Raw genomic sequence first — 25165 nt, 5'->3', positions numbered from 1 at the left:
TAAATTAATATATGAAAAATAAATAAGACATCTGCCAACAGCCACACTTACAGCACTAGATGGATTTTAACTGAATTAAAACTTGAGTTTTTAATGAATTTTCTACAATCCAAAATTTATTTGTTTAATTTTTGTAACAAAACACCATTTCTTTACTTTTTGCAAAAGTAAAAGTAAAGTGCTATTTGTACTTTTTAAATAAAAACTAATTTTAAAGAAAAAAATAATTAGCTGGACGTGGTGGCAGGAGCCTGTAATCCCAGCTACTGGGGAGGCTGAGGCAGGAGAATTGCGGAGGTTGCAGTGAGCCCAGATGGCCCCACTTCATCCAGCCTGGGTGACAGAGCGAGACTCTGTCTCAAGCTTCTTCAGTACTCACATGTAAACTTCTACTTTCCCCTTCAGATTACAGCAACCATCATGCCAAAGCTATACACTCTCAGGGAATCCCTGTGGATTTCACTGATGACCACTTGACCAACTATTATAAAAATCAAGGCCAGGGGTTCTCAAACTCTCAACATTTGTGTGCTCATCTCCCCTTCACCCAGAGACTCCCCAGGGCTGCTGGGCCACGCTTTGTTTGGTTTGACTGGAACATAGCTCGAAAGGGATGGAAATTTCCAAGAGGTGTTAAGAGACACATAAATATTTCAAAGATTAAAATGAAAGAAATAAAGAAATGGGCATTTGTGAGCTTTGGTCATGAGAATGCAGGCCTCGCAGTACTTAACTACTTCCAAACCCCTGTCCAAAGAGAGGACCAAACGCTAGTGAGGCTTCCGGCAGCACAAGGGTGTCCCGCGGATGACCCCAGCCCTCTTAAAATGACTGCCTGAAAAAGCTCACTTGCAAAGAAAATTTACTGTTTGTTTCAGGCAAAACCTGGTGATGGGCAGGTAGAGCCCCGAATCCCCTCTTAGAACCTTAGAAAGCTTGCAATTATAAATTTTTCTCCACCTTTGAAGTGTAAATCTACATCCCAGAATTGTCTCCTCAAAGACCTGAGAGTTCTCTCTTTGAAATGCAAACATTCAGGAAGCTAACTCTTGCTCTTGTTGCCAGTTCCTGAGGGAGGGGAAAGGCCTAGCTTTGGCGAGCACCTTGTTCCAGCTTGCACCTCTGACTCTTTTATTGCCATGAAAATCAACATGTAGACTTTTTTCAAACCCAATGACAGCCCATTACAATGGAGGCCATAGCAATGGAGGTCTCTACATGCAAAAAAAATGGTGGGACAGTTTCCTGATAACAGGTCAACTTTATTCCAAGGATAAGCATGTCATGAAATTATTGGATGGCAGATTATGCTTATCTATGGTCTTCCTTTTTCTCCTTGGTCTCATCCCAATAACTTACAGATCCTTTAAAGGCAAAGGCCAAATATTCAGCTAAGTTAGGTATACTTTAGATGCCAATATCAATTTTAGCTATATGGGAGATCCTACTTAAGATATTGAGGACGATCATGTGTGTACAGGGCAAAAAAGATGGGACAAAGAGATAAGAAGGGGATGGGAAATCACACCCTCCCTCCGCACCACAGACCATGACCTGGGGCAGGTCCTCTAACACCAAGCCCACCCAGGCCCCATCTAACAGTATGCCGCATTCTACATGACCTCAGAGTTCTTTCGGAATTCCAGCTGAAAAGCTGAAAAGCAATACTATATAGTTGTGGTTTCCAGCTGGCCCATGTTAGTATGTATAGCTTTTCTTCCTCGCCATGAAAGCACTATGGGAGAACGAAGCCCGATGCTGGGCATGCTTTGCCAGGTGGGTGCTGCTGAATCACAGACCTCAGCAACTGTGTTCCGCCTCCACAGAGGCCGGAGATGTTTGTTTCCCCAGTGTGTTCGTATATTTCAGCCAGTTTCATGCACTTTGCCCTCTCAGTTTGCTTCACTTTCTGGCTCAGTGAACCTGACCTGCAAGTCTCCCTGCAGTTTCCCTCAGCAAGTGCTCACTGGGCAGCCCCAACATGTGAGAAACGGCTGTAGGGTGCACAGAGGTGAACTAAATTACTAAAAACTATTACTTTACTAAAATGCTTCCTGGATTCCAAAACTCACCAACTGGGAGAAAGGTCAGACACACACGGAGACAACTCATCTACACAAATGATCATCAGTGATTTAAAGAAGGTACAGCAGAGCGAGACTCCGTCTCAAAAAAAAAAGAAAAAGAACGTACAGGAGATCATGGAATAAGAACAAGAAGAGATTACTTTCCAGGGCTCTCAGAAAGTTTCTAAAAAGAGGTGCCATTGACCCTGACCTTAGCATTGTGATGGAGACATTACAGAGCTGGTAGGAAGGAGAAGAAGAAGGAACGGCTGGAACACACTTGGGGTGAAATGAGCAGCATTTCAGTGTGGGAGCTGCAGACTCAGTTTTGGTGGAAGAGTTAAGAGCCAGGATCTTGTCAGGAATAATTCTGTGTCCAAGTGCAGAATCGTGGTTTGCTCCACTACTGCCAGTAACTCCATTTCTCAATCATGATGGTGATGCTTTTTTTTTTTTTGGCTCCCAATCCCGGAGAGTGGCCATACTGAAGTCACATTACAACAATTAACTTTTCAACTATTAGATGATTAATTTTTACCAAGTAGCAAGAACAGCTGTTTGGCACGTAGCAGTGTGGCATGAGTATCTTGTAAATGAATTAAACAAAATATCTCTCCAACACACACACAGTCATTCTTGCTGCATGTCAGCCTCCACTTCTCCCTCCATTATTTGATGCTGTGAAGCTGAGGCAGCCAGCTTGAGCGAAAGCTTTCAGATCTCACTCCAACAAAGAGCTTTGATTGATTCATTTAGTATAAGGTGTTTTATCTGGCTAGAGAAATCCAAGCTGAGTTTTATTAATTACTAAGAAAAGTATGCAATAGATTAATCTTTGATCAAAACTATGTGTGAAGTAGAAACATATTACACATATGGAGAGCAGTTTTATGGAATAAAAACAATCTATGTGTGGCATAACTGACATTGTCTTTATATTTTTGGGGGGGTGTGTGAGTACGGAGTCTCACTCTGTCGCCAGGCTGGAGTGCAGTGGCACAATCTTGGCTCACTGCAATCTCCACCTCCTTGGTTCAAGCAATTCTCCTGCCGCAGCCTCCTGAGTAGCTGGGATTACAGGTGCCTGCTGCCATGCCCAGCTAATTTTTGTATTTTTAGTAGAGACGGAGTTTCACCATGTTGTCGAGGATGGTTTCAATCTCCTGAATTCATGATCCTCCTGCCTCGGCCTCTCAAACTGCTGGGATTACAGGCGTGAACCACCTTGCCTGGCCTATACATAATTTTTAAAACAGATACAGAATATATAGATAGCTTAACAATTATAAAATTGTATTTATCAAGTAGGTCACGAGGTAAACATTTTACGCTATGCAAAAGGGAGCAAACCTCCGAATTTGTCATGCAGGGTCACTAGTGGAACTCACAGCAACAGGTCTGATAAAGCAGAGGAGGGAACCGGGCTTCCGTGTGCTTTAGAGAGAGTGAAACATGAGGAGTCACAGGCAGAGAAAACTGTTTTTCAGAAAGAAAAGAAAGGGGACATGACAGCCCAGCAGTAGGGTGAAGAGGGCCTCTCCGTGGGTGCCGCTGGCTTGAGCTGCTGTAAGTGGCTGTGCCGGGAACAGAGGATCTGTATAGGAGAATGGGGAAGGGAGTGCTGGAACCGGGGGTGGGCAGGAGCAGCAGTCTGGAGACCAGAATGACCTAGGGTTTCCTCTCATGCTCCCATTCCCAGTGTTTCACGTGTGTAAAGTAGCAAGCATGCATATACTGCTTAGAGGCATCTACACTTAACATACTACACTCGTATACAACACTTGCATCGTACAAAGTACACATAGTAGGTGTGGCATGTAATAAGTTACCCTCCTATATTTTCTTCTAAAAGATTTTTAAATATTTGCATCTCAAATTTAAGTCCTTTGTCCATTTAGATCTGGCCTTTGTGTGATAGCGATCCATTTTTGGGATAGAGATCCATTCTGATATTTTCCCATATGGATACCAACTGCTCATACCATGGATTATATAGACCCTTTCTGACTGTTCTGTAATGTTAGCCAGGGCATACATCAAGATTTCACACAAGCATACACTTTCACAATAGCAATTCCTGCTGTGGTAATTATAACTTCACAGTAAATCTGGTACGTGATAGACTCACATAAGCTCCACCTCCCACCTTCACACACTTTAGTCTTCTATGGGATTGTCTTAGTTATACTGGGCCCTTTTATCTTCCGTATAAGCTTTGGAAGCAGTTTAGTGACAATGGTACTCTTGTCTTTTTCTTGATTTTAAAAGGAGTGATTTCGATATTTTTAATCACAAAACATGATAGGTGCTGTAGGTTATTTGTTGACTCCTTTTATCAGGTTAAGGAAATTACCCTTTATTCATAGGTGGAAATATCATGAATTATTTAATTTTTGTAAAATAATTTTATAGGCCTTTTGAGACAATCATATAACTTTTGTCTTTAATTCATTGATAAGGAGATGATTTCAGTAGATTTTCTAACATTGGACTAAATTTGTATTACTAACCGAGCTTGTTCATGGTTTTTATACTTTGCTAGGTATACTTCCTAGTATTTTGTTTACAATATTTGTCTCTGTGTGCATGGATGAGGTACACAATAGCAAGGTTACCCTAGTCTCAAATGAATTGAAGAATGGCCTCTTTTTTCTCCCCTCGCAAATAATTAGTGTAACATTGGAACTACTTGTGACATCATCTGGGCATCCTGTTTTCTTTGTAGAATTATTAATTATCAACTCAATTACTTTAATGGTATGATTTCCATCCAGATTTTCTAATTATTTGAGTCAACTTTAATAAGTTAAATGTATCCAAAAATTTGTTAATCTCACTTATTTACAAATGCATATATTTAATTGTCTTATTACTTAATGAAATAGATCATAAATATAAAAGTGTGTATGTACAGCTTAAGAAGAATATAAAATGAGCATATGTGTCCTTCCTTCAGGTTATGAAATAGAATATTTCCAGTATCTTAGAAACTCCCATTGCCCTTCTACAATGCCACTCACTCCTTCCACAAGAGGTAACCACTATCCCTAACTTCCTGTTAATCATTCCATTGCTTGTCATTACAGACTTGTATATTGTTTAGTTTTGCACATTTGACTTTTTAAATAAGTGAAACTATGTATTGTTTCTTATGATCAGATATGCATACACACAAACATGTATATGTATGTATATATACACACATACACACATTATTTTTAAGAGCAGTTCAAAGTTCACAGCAAAACTGAGCAGCAGGTATAGATTTCCCATATACTCCCTGTCCCCCACACATGCATAGCCTCCCCCATAATAAACATCCCCCACCAGAGTGGTGCATTTGTTACAATTAAAGAACCTACATGATACATCTTATAGTTTGCATTAAGGTTCACACTTGGGCTTGGACAAATTTACAATGACAAGTATTCACTATTAAAATATCATACACGTACTTTCACTGCCTTAAGCATCCTCTGTGCTCTGGTTATTCATCCCTCTCTTCCTCCTAACTCCTGGGAACCACTGATTTTTTTTTCTATTTCTATAGTATTACCTTTTCCAGAAGGTCATAAAGTTGGAAGTGACATATGTAGCCTTTTTAGATTGGCTTCTTTCATTCTGCAATATGCATGTAAGCTTCCACTGTGTCTTTTCATGGCTTGACAGCCATTTATTTTATCATTGAATGGTATTCAGTTGTCTGGATGTAATACAGTTTGTTTAATTATTCACCTACTGAAGGTAATCTTGCTTGTCTCCAAATTTTTGCAATTATAAATAAAACGTCCATAAACATCTGTGTGCAGGTTTCTGTGTGGACATAAGTTTTCAACTCCTTTGGGTATATACCAAAAAACAAGATTGCAGGGTCGTATAATAAGAGTAGATTTAGTTTTCTAAGATGCCACAAAACTATTCTCCATTTTGTATTTCCATCAGCACTGAATGAGAGTTCCTGTTGCTTCACATCCTCATCAGCATTTGGTGTTGTCAGAGTTCTGGATTTTTGCCATTCTAATATGCATGCAGTAGTATCTCATTGCAGTGCTGTGTTTGAGAATGTGAGTAGCTGCAATTCATTCACTCTTAGTGCTGCGAGGTACTCTATTATTGGAATATATGATCATTTAGTTACCTATTCCACAATCTACCCATATTGAGAGATAACTGGATTGTTTCCAGGTTTTTAAAATTGTGAACATTCTCATATATCCCTAGGTAAACAAATGCAAGAATTTTTCTGGGGCCTGTAACAGGCTGACTAGATTGCACTAGGTTGTAGTGAAGCCACTGGGTCATAGGGTACATGCATGATCAGCTGTATGAGCTAACATCCGTTTTCCAAATGGCTGTCCTTCTACTTGCATGGGATGAATGCTTCCACGGTTCTTTATCCTTGCCAATACTACACCTTTCAGAACTTCCAAAAAATTTTGTCAATATGTGTGAAAGGGTATCTAATTGTTAATTTTCATTTTCATGATTATTATTAGGTTGAGCACTTTTTCACATGCTTATGGGCTATTTATGCTAACTTCTTGAGGTGTTATTTTTCACTTATTAATTTATAGGAGAGCTTTATATATTCTGGATACTAAACCTGTCTAGGTAACATGTGTTGCAAATATCTCTGCCAAGTTTTGCATATTTTTTTCTCATTGCGGTATCCAATAAACAGAAGTCTTAAATTTTTATGTGATCAAGTTAGTTTTTACTCTTGCCGTTTGTTCTTCTTCCCTATGTAAAGATAAAAGAGATGCTCCACAGTTTTTTTCTAAGAATGTTGAGAAGGTATCTTTATCCATTAAAATATATTTTTAGGTTTGGTCTATGGGATTAAGTTTCAATTTCCTTTTTTCCCCCTTATGGAGACCAGTGGTCCCAGTGTTGCTTATTGTAAAATTTACTATCTTCACTTAACCACAATAAAAGCTGTGTTACAAAATATGTTTCCAAGTATGTGTGAAAAATATATTTATCTTTATGATTCTACTCAGATTAATTAGCTCTCAGGACTGCTGTGTCCAGAGTTGATTCCTTCTGGTGGGTTCGTGGTGTTGCTGACTTGAAGAATGAAGCTGCCGACCTTCACGGTGAGTGTTACCGCTCTTAAAGATGGCAAGGACCCGAAGAGTGAGCAGTAGCAAGGTTTATTGGGAAGAGCTAAAGAACAAAGCTTCCACAACGGGGAAGAGCACCCACGCAGGTTGCTGCTGCTGGGGTGGGGGTGGGGGGGTGGCCAGGTTTTATTCCCTTATTTGTCACGTTTCTATCCTATCAGAGTGCCCTTTTTTCAATCCTCCCTGTGATTGACTACTTTTAGAATCCTGCCGATTGATGCGTTTTTACAGAGCTTGCTGATTGGTGTGTTTTACAGAGCGCTGATTGGTGTGTTTTACAGAGCATGGATTGGTGCGTTTTACAGAGCGCTGATTGGTACATTTCACAGAACTCGTGAGACAGGTAAGTTCCTGATTGGTGCATTTTACTATCCTCTGGTAAGACAGGAAATTTCCCCAAGTCCCCACTCGACCCAGGAAGTCTGGCTGGCCTCAGCTCTTGCTACCAGAGGCTAATTTCCACCCTGGTATTTCTCAGGCCCATAGATAGTGTGAATTCAAACCCAAACCAATATGGCTATTGTTTTGTATTTAGAAATTATCATACGTTTTTTATTTTTCATTTTTTTGTCTACCCTATTGGGACCAAGACAAGCACATATTTTCACTTTCTTATGGGGGTGGGATTTTCCTAGCCCAGGCACTTAACGTGCTTCTTTTTAGAAATCCTAGATTTATGCAGGAGGCATTTTAGCCTATATTCCTCCCTGCATGGGCATCAGTCTCTGTTTCCTGAATTAGGTGCTCATGGGTCTGGGCCAGTAGGTCCTGGGAGACACCGCAGGGCAAATGCCAGATGAGACACTCACACCTCTGGATTCAGACTTTTTTTGCTCTTCTAGATATCTGAAAATTTGCCTTACTTTGACTCAGCCCATGCATTAAAGCAGATGCTTTTAAATATTTTATGATGCATGTTTTAGGAAAGGGTCTGTCTGGGTATTTCTTCTTTCGATTTGCATTTTTCATTCAGTTCTTCTTTCACACTATCCTAAGCATTAATCAACTCGCCATTTATGTCAGTACAAAACTTCACTATCCTGTTCATTATCACCATTTCATTTTGTTCTGCATAGGCCAGACTATTTATCTAAAAATGTTTAAAGAAATCTAAGGCCTTAAAGGATTCTTTCTCAAGGACTCTACTGTTTGTATTTAGAGAAATGCTCATTTGTTCCACTGTTTTACTTTCTTCTTGGGTCACGCTCTTTGATGACTGCGATCTTACAGAGGATGACAAAAGAGGGTCCACCCTGAGACAGTAATACCTGCTTGCCCCTTTGGATTTTATTAGTGTTATCAAAATATTAATAAAATGTCAAAAACAAATTACTATCATTAGAATGTGTGCCTCACTTAAAAATTTCTCTCTCTAATAAGAAGTTTTTGTTTCCTAGTTCCTTTGGTACCCTAATGTTTAGGTAAATATTCTCTGAGGAAAGGATGTGGAAGTCATAGCAAAATATATGCTGGACTTGAATGAAAATATCTGTTTCATAAAAGTTAAGCAGGCAACCAAAATTTACCTTTTTTAACCTAAATTATCTAAACATGTATTTACATTTCTGCTTCATTGAAAGATATTTGACATTAAATGTCCCTGAGACAGATTTTGGAATGCCCTCTCCTTCTAAAATATATTTTTTATCTTTTGTGGACTAAACAGTTAGTTAAAAATGAACTTAATGATTGCTAATTACTAAGTTATCTAAACAGTTATTTAAAAATGAACTTAATGATTGCTACTTAGTTATTTATAATGCATTTCAAAATTAACTTTATCATCTAAACCTTTTAACACAAATGTATTAAATTATGAAACAGGGAATTGGCTATTTTTGTTCAAATGTTTATTCTCATCAAACTTAAAATATCACTCAGCTATATGATTAAAAATGAAGGCTTCAGTCATTAAATTATTTCCCAGTTATTTGCGATATTTCTCCATATTAAAGGAACAAACAGTGCCCTTCGAATCTGTTGATAGTTCTATTGATAGTGGCCATCACAAGTTACACATTATCAATAAGGTCAAGGCACAAATAAAATTTCTCCCTTGCTTTTCACTCAAAAACTACAAGTATAGTTCTTTGATAAGATGTCCCAATCATGATTTGTGATGCCAATCATAGAAGGAAAGAGGATGTTGAGAAACAATAAAATAGCTACTTTAAAATGTTCTGTGCCGGAACATTTTGATGGCAATATTGGTCATATTATAAATTTGAAAATATAAATTTTAATCTAGATTGACTTTATTCTACTAGTGATTTTAAGAGCTTTATCCAAGAGAAACACTTACATTTTTATTCCTAATGTTTCTTTAAAAATGTGAAACTCCTTTTTTTTTTTATAATTTTAAAAATTCCTAGATAAGCAGAACATAGAGCCAACTGTTATGTTCTGGTTGTTTTTAATAGGTATATTTATGTTATCCCCCAAATTATAATTTATTAATGTCTAACTTCAGTTAGATGAGTTGATTACTTTTCATACACCATTGACTAAAGGAAACCTAATTTTACACGTAATTCAAGGGGATCTGTGAGTAAGAACATTTTTAAATTAAAGCAACACATGTGCATGGAAAATCATTCAAACAGTTTGATGGCAAAAAAATCAGTGGAAACCAGAAACTTTTTTTTTCCTTCCACAGACCTTGGTCCTGTTTTTCAGAGTTAGGCAGGTTTTATCATACTCTTTTTTTTACTATATGCTATTCTCTTGAACTGTAAATAATATTATATAATCACCTAATTTGTTTTATCAGTTTTAAGTAATATCCCTTGACTTTTTATGAACGATAGAGAATATAGCTCATTTACCCTACTTTCTTTTCTTTTTTCTTTTTTCTTTTTTTTTTTTTTTTTTTTGAGACGGAGTCTCACTCCCTCACCCAGGCTGGAGTGCAGTGGCGCTATCTCGGCTCACTGCAAGCTCCGCCTCCCGGGTTCACGCCATTCTCCTCCGCCAGCCTCCTGAATAGCTGGGACTACAGGCGCCAGCCACCACGCCCGGCTAATTTTTTGTATTTTTAGTAGAGACAGGGTTTCACCGTGTTAGCCAGGATGGTCTTGGTCTCCTGACCTCGTGATCCGCCCGCCTTGGCCTCCCAAAGTGCTGGGATTACAGGCGTGAGCCACTGCACCTAGCCCATTTACCCCACTTTCTTCTTCTAAAACTATATTTCCAATTTAGTCTTTAATATATAATTTTAAGGGATTTTTAAAAATTTGCTTCCTCTAAATAATATACTTACAGTGCTTAATTCTTTGCTTAAATAATATATTGTTTAAATATACAGTCCATCCAATTTGAACACCACTGATTGGCTCAGTAGGATGTGGAGATTAGTGTACAACTTCCCTCCCCTCCAACAGTCCCTGTCATAGCTTTCGACTTGTATCAAATATGGTTCTATACTTATATTTTCACATTTTATGTAAATTACATCCTATTTTGTAATTATAATAAAGTCTGTGCTTTGTTCATAGGTTAATTTTGATCATGGAATCTCAGGTGAATTGACAGCATCATTATTATGTTTTCTTTTTTTTTCAAACCACAGTCGCAGGTGGCATGATTTGATTTGTGTGAAGGCAATGAAATGATACACAGATACACCGAAGCCTCCCAAAAGAATCCTGGTTCCAAGATTCAAGAAGATGGATTAATGTTTTTCCATTAATTGTTGGAATTTATGCCATTTTTTTACTATGTGCCATCAATTTTAAAGCACTTCTGAAAAGAGATAACAATCTACAATAGCTGGCATTTTAAATTCATAAAAATATAGTATTTTCTTCTATTTTTATACATTTATGATGCATTATTTCTTATTTCCCAGGAATTTTACTACCTTTGTTTTGAATGATTAAAAAGGAAACATAGCACCTTTTTTCAACACATCACCAAGATAGCCTAGTTAATATTCTTCTCTTTCTGAAGTAGTTGAATTGGGATAGACAGCTTGCCAGGCCTGCTGCCACTTGTCAGCATCGCATCCCTACATTCAACCACACTTGCATCTAACGACCGTCTCTTTCATTAAATTTCTTTTGCACCTTTTCTTCCTGAATGAGTGCATGATAGTTAATTTTCCTGTGCACTTGCATGTCTCAAGAAGGTTTTAATTCTTTTTGTATTGCATTAATATTTAAGTTAAGTTTATAATTGCAAAATGATTTATACTCACAACATTGAAGACTCCTTTGTTTTGTTACATCCTGTCAAAATGATGAGAAGACAGATCATCCTTTAGGGAAAAATTGGTTTTGATTGGCATCAGCCTTTCCAACAGCAATGCTGGAGACAAGAATAAAATGAAGTAATATTTTTCAAGGATTAAAAGGAAACAATTTTTAATCCTTGAATTATTTGCAGCCAAAATCTTTTAAATATGAAAGCACAGAAAAAGACATTATAAAGTAAGGCCTCAAAAGTTTTATTTCAAATAAATCCCTTTGAAAATGCCTAGAGGACATACTCCACTAAGAAGAGAAATACACCGTGGTGTTAGAATTGAGGGTTCCAGAATCAATGGTAGTGGTGTTTATCATACCCTAAAACATACATGAAAACATAACATATTGAAAACAACTCCGAGTAAACTTCAGAAAGTACCACCTTAGACAAAGTGCTGTCGTAACAGAGAAAGCAAACCAGAGGTGGCAAGAGGAGGCTAGAGTACTTATTTGGTTTGCTGAGATGATATTAATTTTGACACATGGAGGAAATTGAGAAAATTAACAAAAGTAATGACATAACCACCATTACAATGTTAAAAATTTCCAGATTTCAAACAAATGAAAAATTTTTGATCTATAGAGTGAGAGGTACAAATAGGAAAAAAGACACAGTAAAGTATGAAAAATCATAAATGAGATGACAGAAAGAAGTCATAATGGAACAATAATTACATAAATCAAAGGTTAAGATTGTCAGGTAAAATTTTTAAGTGTCAAAAAACACAATATAACCTATCGAAAATAAATTAGTGGAAAAAATGTAGCAGGAAAATATGAATAAAAAGAGCTAGGTCCAATTTTTGATAAAAATTTGAATTCAAGTTGATAATATCCTAAAGAAGGAAAAGTCTGTAGGCCAATAGAAGAAATAGCAGATGCAGAGGTGTGCTCACAAACATGAGTGCTCATGACACTAGTCATACAAACTCAAATTCCCATTACAGTTGTATACAAACATGATGGCCGACAAGAAGGAAGTTCCTTTAAGCCCACTTGGAGCATTAAGACAAATTTACCATGTGAATCCCTAATTGAACTCTGAGTTACTTCTGTGAAGGAATGAAGAATGATATCATAAATGAATTTCATATAGCACTCAAAGCTCCCCCTCTATATGGTTCAGGATAGACTTGAGTATCCACGGTTCTGGAGTGCAAGGGAGGAGAAAGGAAAGGTGCATTCAGACAAAAAAAAAGTGTACAGAACACACCACGGATATCAGAAGAGGCTGCTCATGGCAAGGCGTGGTGGCTCGTACCTGTAATCCCAGCACTATGGGAGGCCGAGGTGGGTGGATCACCTGAGCTCAGGAGTTCAGGACCAGCCTGGGCAGCAAGGCGAAACCCCATCTCTGCCAAAAATACAACAAAATTAGCTAGGCATAGTGGCACATGGCTGTGGTTCCCATTACTTGGGAGGCTGAGGTGAGAGGATTGCTTGAGCCTGGGAGGCAGAGGTTGCAGTGAGCCCAGATCGTGCCTCTGCACTCCAGCCTGGGCAACAAAGTGAGACCCCGTCTCAAAACAGAACAAAACAAAACAAAACAAAAAAAGAGGGTGATCAAGACCAGACTCAGCTCCTAGGCCTTGAACTCCAGTCCCACCTCACACCCTAAGGTTCCTAAAGAATCAGTAACTTAGTTCACCCTACCCCACTCCTGGCTTCTAGATGTAGCACAAGTTTCTAAACATGCAAACAATGAGGACTATCTATTTTGACAAAATAAGAAGAAATGGAGTCAAGGCAACATATAACATATTTTTGCCAGTTCTATTGATTAACAGAAAAATTGTATATAGTTAAGGTGTGCAGTGTGTTATTTTGATATACATATACATTGTGAAGTGATGATTACCACAATCAAGCTAACATATTCATCACCTCACCTGGTTACCTTTTTATTTGTGTTTGTGTGGTGGAGAACACTTGAGATCTACTCTTTCAGCAAATTTCAAGTATACATTATTATTGACTTTAGTCACTATGCTGTACATTAGATCTCCAGAACTTATTCATCTTATAACTGAAAGTTTGTACTTTCTGACAAACATTTTTTCTTTTCCCCCAACTCCCAGGCCCTGGTAAGCACTATTTTACTCTGTTACCATGAGTTTGACATTTTCTTAGTATGCATATAAGTGAAATCATGCAGGATATTTGTGTGTGTGTGTTCCTGGCTTATTTTACTTACCATAATAAACTCCAGGTTTGTCCATTTTGTTACAAATGGCAGTATTTCCTCATTTTTAAAGGCTAAATGATATTCCTTGTGTGTGTGTGTGTGTGTGTGTAATACATTTAAAACATCCATCTGTCAATGGACACAGGTAGTTTCCATATCTTGGCTGTGTACATAACACTGCAATGAACATGTAAGTATACATATCTCTTTGAGATAGTGATTTTCTTTACTTTGGATATATACCTAGATGGGGATTGCTGGATTATATGGGAGTTCCATTTTTAATTTTTTGAGGAAAGTCCATACTGTTGTCTCTAATGGCTGTACCAATTTACATTCCCATCAACTATCAACTAAGCACAAGGGTTTCTTTTTCTCAATATCCTCAGCAACATTTGTTACCTTTTTACTGTTACAATAGCCATCCTAATAGATGTGAGGTGATATCTCATTGTGCATTTTCCTGATGATTAGTAATGGCAAACATCTTTTTCTTAGTATATACCTATTGTCAATCGTATGTCTTTTAGAAATGTATCTCTTCAGGTCTGATACGCTTTGGCTGTGTCCCCACCCAAATCTCATGTTGAATTGTAGCTCCCATAATTCCCACGTGTTATCAGAGGGACCCAGTAGGAGACAATTGAATCATGGGAGCAGTTTTCCCCATACTGTTTTTGTGGTAGTAAATAAGCCTCACAAGATCCGATTGTTTTATAAGCGATTTCCTTTTTCACTTGGCTTTCATTCTGTCTTGCCTGCTGCTGTGTAATATGTGCCTTTAGCCTCCCACCATAAGTAAGGCCTCCCCAGCCTTATGGAACTGTGAGTCCATTAAACCTCTTTTTCTTTATAAATTACACAGTCTTTGGTATGCCTTTATGAGCAGCATGAAAACAGATGAATACAGTAAATTGGTACTGGTAAAGTGGGGTGCTGCTGTAAAGTTATCCAAAAATGTGGAACCAACTTCGGAACTGGGTAATAGGAAGAGGTTGGAACAGTTTGGAGGGCTCACAGAAAGACAGAAAAACATGAGAAAATTTGGAACTCCCTAGAGACTTGTTGAGTAGCTTTGAACAAAATGCTAATAATGATATGGACAATGAAATTCAGGCTGAGGTTGTCTGAGATGGAGACGAGGAACTTGTTGGGAACTGGAGTAAAGGTAAATCTTGCTATGTTTTAGCAAAGAGACTGGCAGCATTTTGCCCCTGCCCTAGAGATTTGTGGAACTTTGAACTTGAGGGAGATGATTTAGGGTAGCTGGCAGAAGAAATTTCTAAGCAGCAAAGCATTCAAGAGGTGACTTGGGTGCTGTTAAAAGCATGCAGTTTTAAAAGGAAACGGCATAAAACTTTGGAAAATTTGCAGCCAAACGACATGATAGACAAGAAAAACCAATTTTCTGAGGAGAAATTCAAGCCAGCTGCAGAAATTTGCATAAGCAACAAGGAGCCAAATGTTCATCCCCAAGACAATGGGGAAAATATCTCCAGGACATGTCAGAGATCTTTGTGGCAGTCCCTCCCATCAGAGGCCAGGAGGCCTAAAAGGAAAAAATCCTGGGTTGGATTCAGGGGCTCCCTGCTGTGTGCCACTTTGAGACTTGATGCCCTGCATCCCAGCCACTTTAGCCATGGCTAAAAGGGGCCAAGGTACAGCTTGGACTTTGGCTTCAGAGGGCACAAGCCCCAAACCTTGGCAGTTTCACATGGTGTTGAGTCTGTGGGTGCACAGAAGTCAAGAACTGAGGTTTGGGAACCTCTGCCTAGATTTCAGAGGATGTATGGAAACACCTGGATGTCCAGGCAGAATTTTGTTGTGGGGCGGGTGGGGGGGGGTCCCTCATGGAAAACCTCTGCTAGGACAGTGCAGAACGGAAATGTGGGGTTGAAGCCCCTACACAGTCCCCACTTGGGTACTGCCTGCTGGATCTGTGAGAAGTAGGCCACCGTCCTCTGGACCCCAGAATGGTAGATCCACCAACAGCTTGACCATGCACACGGGAAGGCCACAGACAATGCCAGCTCATGAAAGCAACCAGGAGGGGGGATATGTCCTGCAAAGCCACAGGGGTGGAGCTGCCCAAGGCCATGGGAGCCCACCTCTTGCATAAGTGTGACCTGGATGCGAGACGTGGAGTCAAGGGAGTGCATTTTGGCACTTTAAGATTTGACTGGCCTGCTGGATTTTGGATTTGGGGCCTGTAGCCTCTTTGTTTTGGCCAATTTCAACCATTTGGAACAGGTATATTTACACCCTCCCTGTACCTCCATTGTATCTGGAAAATAACTGACTTGCTTTTGACTTTATGTTCTCATAGCTGGAAGGGACTTGCCTTGTCTCAGATAAGACTTTGGAGAGTGGACTTTTGAGTTAATGCTCAAATGAGTTAAGATGTTGGGGGACTGTTGGGAAGGCATAATTTGCTTTCAAATATGAAGACATGAGATTTGGGAGGAGCCAGGGCAGAATGATATGATTTGGCTGTGTCCCTACCCAAATCTCATCTTGAATTGTAGTTCCCATAATTCCCACATGTTGTGGGAGGGACCTGGTGGAAGACAATTGAATCATGGGGGCAGTTTCTCCCATACTGTTCTCATGGTAGTAAATAAATCTCACAAGATCTGATTGCTTTATAAGGGGTTTCCCCTTTTGCTTGGCTTTCATCCTGCCTTGCCGGCTGTCATGTAAGACATGCCTTTCACCTTCCAACTGTGATCATGAGGCCTCCCCACCTGTGTTGAACTGTGAGTCCATTAAACCTCTTTTTTCTTTATAAATCACCCAGTCTCAGGTATGTCTTTATCAGCAGCATGAAAACAGACTAATACAAGGTCCTTTGGAATCGTCTAAGTTCCTAATTTATTTGGATATTAACTTCTTATCAGATATATAGCATGTAAATATTTTCTCCCATTCTTTAGGTTGTCTTTTCATTGTATTGATTGTCTCCTTTGTTGTGCTGAATCTTTTACTTTGATTTAGTCCCATTTGTCTAGTTTTGCTTTTGTTGTCTATACTTTTGGTGTCAAATCTGAAAATTTATTACCAATACCAGTGTCAAGGAGCTTTTCTCCTATATTTATGTCTAAGAGTTTTACAATATTGCTCCTAGGTTGAGGTCTTTTATCCATTTTGAGTCAATTTTTGTATGTGGGGTGAGATAAGGGTTCAGTTTCATTCTTCTGCATGTGGATATCCAGTTTTCCCAACACCATTTATTAAAGAGACTAAACTTTTATCATTGTGTTTTCTTGGCACCAATGCTGAAGATCAATTGATTGTAAAGGCATGGATTTGTTTCTGTGCTTTCTATTCTTTTCCCTTGGCCTACATGTCTGTTTTTATGCCAGTACCATACTATTTTAATTACTATAGCTTTATAATTTAGTTTGGAATAAGGTAATGTGAAGCTTCCACTTTTGTTTTTTCTGTTCAAGAATGTTTTGACTGTTTGGGGTCTGTTGCACACAGATTTTAGAATTGCTTTTTTCCATTGCTTTGAAAAATGCCACTGAAATTTTGATAGGGGTTGCATTATATCTGTAGATCACACTGAGTAATAGAGATTCTTTTATCTTCAAATTCTTTCATCAGTGTTCTATAGTTTTTGGTATATAGAAATTTTACTTTCTTATTTAAATTTATTCCTAAGTTAATTTTTTGATGCTATTGTAAATGAGATTGTGTTCTTTCAGATGGACTCTCGCTCTGTCACCCAGGCTGGAGTGCAGTGGTGTGATCTCAGCTCACTGCAAGCTCTGCCTCCCGGGTTCACACCATTCTCCTGCCTCAGCCTCCCGAGTACAGGCGGCCACCACCACGCCCGGCTAATTTTTTGTATTTTTAGTAGAGATGGGGTTTCACCATGTTAGCCAGGATGGTCTCGATCTCCTAACCTCATTATCCACCTGCCTCAGCCTCCCAAATTGCTGGGATTACAGGCGTGAGCCACCGCGCACAGCCCGAGATTGTTTTCTTAATTTCTTTCTGGGATAGTTCACTGTTAGTATATAGAAATGCAATAGGTTTTTTTTTTTTTAATGTTAATTATGTGTTCTGTAAATTTGCTGAATTTGTTTCTTAATTTTAACAGTTTTTTTTTGGAGCCTTTAGAATTTTCTCTATATAAGATCATGTCATCTTGAAATAGACACACTTTCACTTCTTTTCCAATTTGGATGCCTTTTATTTCTTTTTCTTACCTAATTGCTCTGGCTAGGACTTACAGACTTTTTCAGAAACCCCCCACAGTAATCTAGGGGAGTCCACTGTCACTAGATCTGCTTTATAAGAAACCCTAAAGGGAGTTCCTCAAACTGAAATGCAATAAGACTAATTAGTATCATGAAACCATATGCAGTTATAAAAAGTCACTGGTAACTATACAGTCAAATTCAAAATACTCCTAATACTGTAATGATGCAGTATAATCACTTTAACTTTTAAAAGGTTAAAAGACAAAAAATACTACAAATAAATATAATTACAAAATATACAAAGAAAGAAACTCTGACATCAAAAAACATAAGTGGAGGGGAGTAAAGTGTAGGGTTTTTGTATATGATTGAAGTTAAGTTGTTATCAACTTAAAATAGACCATTATAACTACAATCATGCATTTCTTAATGCGGATATGTTCTGAATAATGCAATTTTGTCATGGTGTGAATATCATAGAGTATACTTACACAAAATTAGATAATACCACCTAACACACACCCAGGCTATATGGTATAACCTATTGTTTCCAGGCTACAAATCTGTACAGCATTGTACTATACTGAATGCTATAGGCAACTGTAATACAATCATAAGCATTTGTGTATCTAATGTATGTAAACATATGAAAGGTACAATAAAAATGTTATAACCTTATGGGACCACCGTTGTATATGTGGCCCATCATTGACCAAAACATCCTTGTGTGGCACACGATAGCATACAATGTTTTATGTAAGCCTCATGATAATCACAAAGACAAACATGTAACAGATACACAAATGAGAATTTTACCACGTTTAAAAAAGAATTAATACAAAGGCACAGGAAAGAATCAAAGTATACCACTACAGAAAATAATCAAAGTAATCAAATCATGCACAGCAAGAGAGAAATAAAAGAACAAGAAAACTACAAAATGCCTATCAATAGTTACTTTAAATATCAGTGGACCAAATCAGTGAAACAAAAGACACAGAGTGGCTGAATGGATAGTAAAACAAGAACCAAATATATGCCACCTATAAGAGACTCACTTCACCTTTAGAGACACACATAGACTGAAAGAGAGGGAACAAAAGAAGAGAAAGAGTAGCTATTCTTACAACAAACAAAATAGACTTTAAGTCAAAAACTGTAACAAGAGACAAAGAAAGTCATTATAGAATGATACAAGGCTCAATTCATCAAGAGGATATAACTACTGCAAATATATATTCTCCCAACATTGGAGCACCTAATTATATAAAGCAAATATTAACAAATCTGAAGAGAGAAGTAGACAACAATAATACAATAACAGTAAGGGACTTCCATATCCCACTTTCAACAATGGATTGATCATTCAGACAGATAATCAATAAGGAAACAGCTGACTTGAACTACACTATAGATCAAATGGACCAGACATATACATGACATTCCTTTCCAAAACAGCAAAATACACATTCTTCTCGAGCATACACAGTACATTCTCCAACATAGGTCATATATTAGGCCAGAAAACAAGTCTTAGCAAATTTAAGAAGATTGAGATCTCACCAAGTATTCTTTTTGACTACAGTGGCATGAAACTGAAATTAAAAACAGGAGAAAACTTAGAAAAGTGACAAATATGTGGAAATCAACCAACACACTCCTGAATAACCAGTAGATCAAAGAAAACATCAAAAAAGAAATAAAATATCTTGAGACAAACTAAAATGAAAGCACGACATACTAAAACTGATGAGATGAAGCAAAAGCCGTTCTAAGAGAGGGAAGTTTATACAGATAAGTGCTAAATAAAGAAAAAAGATCCCAAATAAACCTCAAAAAATAGAAAAAAATAATCAAGCCCAAAATTAGAAGGAAATAACAAAGATCATAGCAGAAATAAATGAAATAGACTAGAAAAACAATAGAAAAGATGAATGAAACGAAGAGTTGATTTTTTGAAAAGATAATAAAAATTGACCAACCTCTCACTAGGCCAAGAAAAAAGAAATCTCAAGTAAATAAAATTAGAACAAAAAAGGAGATATTAAAATTGGTACCATAGAAATACAAAGGATAATAATAGTCTACTCTAAACAACTATGTGTCAACAAATTGTTTAACTTAGAATAGAGAAATTTCTAGAAACATACATCCACTAGACTGAAACATGAAGAAATAGAAAATAAAAACAGATAAATAATGATTAAAAATATTGAGTCAGTAGTCAAAAAGCTCCTGAAAAAGGAAAATCCAAGACCAGATAGCTTAGTGGAGAATTCTACCAAATGTTTGAAGAAGAATTAATACGATTTCTTCACAAACTCTTCCAAAAGTTGAAGAGGAGGGAACACTTCCAAACATTTTTTATGAGGCCAGCATTACCCTGATAACAAAGACAGAAAAGGACACTACAAGGATGACAGAGATTTTTAAGGTACAAATGATGTATTGTTGGAATTGAAAATACAGGCTTTGTTAGTACAAAGATTTGTGTGTGGATAGGTGGATGTGTACTGGTGTGTGCATGCATACATATACAAGCTTAACTTGTTTTATTGCACTTCACTTTATTATGCTTCTCGGATATTGCAGTTTGTACAGGTTGAAGGTTTGTGGCAACCCTGCACCAAGCAAGTCTACCAGTGCCACTTTTCTGGTAGCATGTGCTTATTTTGCACCTCTGTGTTACATCTTTGTAATTCTTGCAATATTTCAAATGTTTTGTTATTATTATATCTGTTATGGTGATCTGTTATCAGTGATCATTGATATTACTATTGTCATTGTTTTGGGGCATCACAAGCCATGCTCCAAAAGACAATGAGCTTAATTGATACATATGTGTATTCGAATGGTTCCATCGATCTGCCCTTCCTCCATCTCACCCTCTCCTCAGGTCTGTTTTCTGAGACACAGCAATATTGAAATTAGGCCAATTAATAACTCTATAAAGGCCTCTATGTGTTCAAGTGAAAGTAAGAGTCACACATCTCTTATTATAAATCTAAAGTGAGAAATGATTAAGCTGAGTGAGGAAGGTATGTTAAAAGCCGAGACAGGCCAAAAGGCCCAGGCTGGTCTCGAACGCCTGACCTCAAGCAATCCACCTGCCGCAGCCTTCCAGGTAGCTGAGATTAAAGGCATGAGCCACCATGTCCAGCTTCTATGCATTATTTTAAATGGAGTATTGAAGACTCTGTTACTGTAGAACTATTTCTAACTTCAATTCTGTCAATATTTTGGTCACAGGCCTTAATGTGATTACACGCTGGTCTGATGTTCATGGCCAGGACATTTTGTTTTCCTGTTGGACATAAACAATCTCACAGAATATCAACTTCAGAAGGTTAATCTGAGACCGTGATAAGTGCAAACAAAAACAAGGGCACTTTATAATGTTGTCTAAGTGCAGATAAAAAACAAGGTCTTGATGCCACCCACAAAATACTTAATAATCATATTGCTCCTGCTTTCTGACAGCATCCAATCTAAAGTCTTCACTTTCTGAGATCCTGTCCGAAATCAACCAATTAAAGTCCAAATCGTATAATAGTTTCTCTCTAACTCCTCCCACTGAGATGACCCATAGTACCCCATTCCTTGCTGCAATGTAATTATATTTACTTACAAGTGTGCTCCTGGTGGTCTTTAACTGAAGGGCACTGACTGGGTCACTGGTGAAGTTCCCCGCAGGAACTGAGTCAGACCCCATCTCAGGGCCCTGCACAAGATAGGTGCCTGCTCTAAGGCGTGGACCCTCGCCACAGCCCTGGCCCGTCTTGACGGGCGAGGGTTACTGTACTTGTCCCAACCGTACAGATGAGAAAGCTGAGACTCAGGGCGAGCAACCCGGGTCCCAGCGGAGCGCCCGGCACACGCCGACACTTCAGCACCAGTCGCGGTGGCCACCACTGTGCGCGGAGATGGCTGCGACGCGTGCGCAGGTAAAGTCCATCCGTGCCTTGCCTCCCACCGGCGCCTTCCCCGGCCTCTGGTTTTTGTACCCGCCAGCGGCTCCGACTCCATCGCGTCCTCTTCCAGTCTAGTGCTTTTTTCCAGATCTCGATCCCAAACTCCCTCCTGCCAGAATCTGGACCCGAATCCACCCATTGCCCGTTTTCTGCTGCCGCTGGAGAGAATCTCTGAGGTCCCCAGGAGAGCCTGCCTGCACGGAAGAGATGCCTCCTCAGTATGGCCGCCCCCGGAGAGGAGCGATTAAGTGCAGACCTCCATGTTGCTCTTGAGCCTGAGCGGCTTCAGGGAGCCATGTTTGTTACTGGCGGGCGCCGACCTCACTGAGCATGTGCAGCCCTGGCCGGGCGGCCTCAAAGTTCTGACATCACAGGGCGGTTCCTGAAGTGGACGTAGTTGTAAGAGCTAGTTATTTTAGACAATGCCTCTGGGATCAGGGACTCTAATCTGGAAATAGGTAGTAGGAGAGGTCGGTGATGCAGTCTCTGGATCAGAGACCTGAGCTATATGGGGTTAGAGAGGGGCCCTGGGCAGGCGAGTCTCTGGGGAGTGTGGTGAGAATCCTTGTGTAAGATGCTGGGAGGAGGTGGGGTCAGGGCTGGGGTCCGTGGGCCGACGGGTTGGGGGATGGCCAGCGTCAGGGATCAGTAGTAGAGATTCTATGTGCCCTGATCGCCAGTGGAGGTTTTAAATACAGAGTATTCATGAGTTTAGCAATGTTATTCGCCTCTCATTATTTAAATAATTTGAAATTTTCCCCAATAACTAGTGTCTTAGAAGTCATGAAAATTTCAGAAAATGACAGGTCTCCTGAGTTCGTGATGGGAGTTGGGCAGCAGTCGCATACGAGCACCTGGAGAGTCCTTGCCAGTTCTTTGGGGATGGGGAGCTCTTAAGACTGCCCTGAGACCGCCCTTTGACCTCATTATGGTCCTTTCTAGATCAAATGCTGTTTTCCATGACTGTCTCTGTTCTTCCCATACGCGAATGGCAGGCATCCAGATCTCCAAGAATAGAGGATTAGGAGAGACTCCACCACCTATGTCCTCACAGTTAATTATCGATTTGTGTCAGTTGCCCATTTTCTCACTTCCTGTTTGTGTGTCAAGGAGTATTAATAAATCTTTGCCTATTTAAAGATATTAGCCTTGGATTTTCAAATATTGCATATTTTGACATGTAAAAATTTGTTAGTTTTATTTTTTCAACCGATCTGACCTGTATAGTTGGGCTTGAGGAAGCTTCCTCATTCTACATGTTACTATGGATTTTCTAATATTAACACAGGGTTGTATTTTTTCCATATAACTTTCTATTGAATTTCTTTTTCCATATGATAGGTGGTGAAGGTTTAGCCCAGTAAAGCAGAGAGGTTAAGAGGTTAGATTGGGGGCTCTGGAGCCAGACCTATGTAGATCTGAGTCCTGGCTCTGGCACTTGAAAGCCGTGTGACCTTGGTTAAGATACTTAGTCCCTCTCTGCCAAATGGAGAAATAAGGGCACCTACCCCATAGGGTAGTTGTGTGATTACACAAGTTAATACACTTCAATCAGTAGCAAGAAAGTGAATGTCAAGCTGTATTTGTTCAGGCAGCCATATGGTAGCCCCACGTCCTTAGTAAACTGAGGTATTGAAGTATCTTCTTTTTCTTTCAGAAAATATTTGTCAAGCACCTTCTGTGTTCTAAGAACTGTTCTAGAGCTTTGCATGCTATGGAGGTCTAGAAATTCACATTATGGTGGCAGGTGACAGACAATACAAAGAGATAAAGCAATTTCATATAGTGATAAGCTAGGGAGGAGTGCTAAAAGGAGCCAAGGTGTAGTGGTGACTGGAAGGTGACCAGGGAAACCACTGTAGGGTTTCTAAGTGATGAGATCTGTGACAAATCCCTGTGGTCAGCAGCAGGCATTGGATATGTAACTTTATTCTGTCCCATTGATCTTGTAGTCAACCCTGGTCTGTTCTGTATTGTTTTAATTACATAATCTTTGTAATAATCTTTAATACCTGGTGGAGTGCTCTGTTTACTTATTTCTGCATAATTAACCACCCCTAAGCTTAACTTACTCATGGTTCTGCAGGGTGACTGCTCTCCATGTTTCTAGGTGGTTCTGCATGGGGCCTCTCACATGTGCTACAGTCAAACATTAGCCGGGGCCACAGTCATCTGAAACTCACTTACATGGCTGACAATTGATGTTGGCTGTTGCCTGGAGAAGACATATGTGGCGTGGTGGAATGGAATGGTGACTAGATTCAAGAAAGAGCTTCCCAGGAGGAAGGCTACCAAGAGACCGAAGTAGAGGCTTCAGTTTCTTAAAAAAAAAAAAAAAAAAAAAAAATCGGGCAAGGCACGATGGCTCATGCATGTAATCCCAGCACTTTGGGAGGCCAAGGCAGGCAGATCACAAGGTCATGAGATCGAGACCATCCTGGCCAACATAGTGAAACCCGTCTCCAATAAAAAAAAAAAATACAAAAATTAGCTGGGCATGGTGGTGTGAACCGGTAGTCCCAACTACTCGGGAGGCTGAGACAGGAGAATCTCTAGAACCTGGGAGGCGGAGGTTGCGGTGAGCTGAGATTGCACCACTGCACTCAAGACTGGCAATAGAGGGAGATTCCATCTCAAAAAAAAAAAAAAAAAAAATCCAATAGCAGAATTCCCAGAATGGAATTTATGTCACATTCTATGGATCAAGCAAGTTGCAAGGCAGCCAGATTCAAGGGGAAGGGAGCTATTCCTCACCTCTTGAGAAGCAATGTGTGTTGAGGAAGGGAAAGAATTGATGGTAGCTGTCTTTGACTTCTGCCATACAGAGCAAGGTCTCCACACTCCTTTCTCCTGTAATAATTTTCCATTTGAAAATTTTCCTTGCAATTCTCACACCTTTATTATTTCATATAAATTTTACAATCAATTTTTTTCTTGTCTAGATAACCATGCCATTTGGATTAAAATTGCATTACATTGCAACTTTTGAGAAACTATGGGAGGAGAATTGGCAACCTTATAATATTGAATTTGCTCATTAAGGAACATAGTTTCTCTGTTTATTTAGGTGTTATATTTTTCATAACATACATGTTGGTATTTCTACCCAGGCTTTTCTCTTTGTTTTGTCATGTAACCCATGAATGAGACTGCACTGTCTGTGTGATTGGGCAGTTGCCCAAAGTTTAAGGTGTTAACATGCATTAATTCACTTAATCACTCCTCATTTCCTCCTTCCCTCAACCCCTGACAACCATGAATCTGCCTTCTGTCTCTAGATTTGCCTATTCTGGACATTTTATATAGATGTGTCATCCAATATCTGGTCTTTTCTGACTGGCTTCTTTCACGTAGCAGGATTCTACGGT

The 25165-nt window shown here is 39.0% G+C and overlaps 2 long non-coding RNA genes and 1 pseudogene across 4 annotated transcripts in view; 1 reads left to right on the top strand and 2 right to left on the bottom strand.

The window, feature by feature from the left end:
• LOC128966771 (uncharacterized protein FLJ76381) overlaps window positions 1-21936 on the bottom strand; it is a 98522-nt gene extending 76586 nt beyond the window's left edge. Inside the window, 1 exon segment of the long non-coding RNA NR_185482.1 lies at window positions 17761-21936. This is a non-coding gene — a long non-coding RNA (uncharacterized protein FLJ76381).
• Window positions 1-22012, bottom strand: part of FGF7P6 (fibroblast growth factor 7 pseudogene 6) — a 59264-nt pseudogene extending 37252 nt beyond the window's left edge. Inside the window, exons 1-2 of one of the 2 annotated variants that reach the window (NR_047527.1) lie at window positions 21455-22012; window positions 11385-11494 (exon numbers count right to left, since the gene is read on the bottom strand). The product of NR_047527.1 is annotated as a fibroblast growth factor 7 pseudogene 6, transcript variant 1 (transcript). The remainder of the gene's footprint in view (window positions 1-11384; window positions 11495-21454) is intronic. The other variant, NR_003674.2, reaches the window with a different exon arrangement.
• On the top strand, window positions 21398-23787 carry FAM88C (family with sequence similarity 88 member C). The gene is made up of 2 exons (NR_126048.2): window positions 21398-21770; window positions 21886-23787. It is a non-coding gene; the product is annotated as a family with sequence similarity 88 member C (long non-coding RNA).
• The last annotated feature ends 1378 nt before the right edge of the window (window positions 23788-25165 follow it).

The sequence above is a fragment of the Homo sapiens genome, chromosome 9 (genome assembly GCF_000001405.40).
Source record: "Homo sapiens chromosome 9, GRCh38.p14 Primary Assembly".
In the NCBI taxonomy this organism is placed as follows: domain Eukaryota; kingdom Metazoa; phylum Chordata; class Mammalia; order Primates; family Hominidae; genus Homo; species Homo sapiens.
Note: the sequence above shows the minus strand (reverse complement) of the source record. Positions and strands in the feature narration are given on the sequence as shown.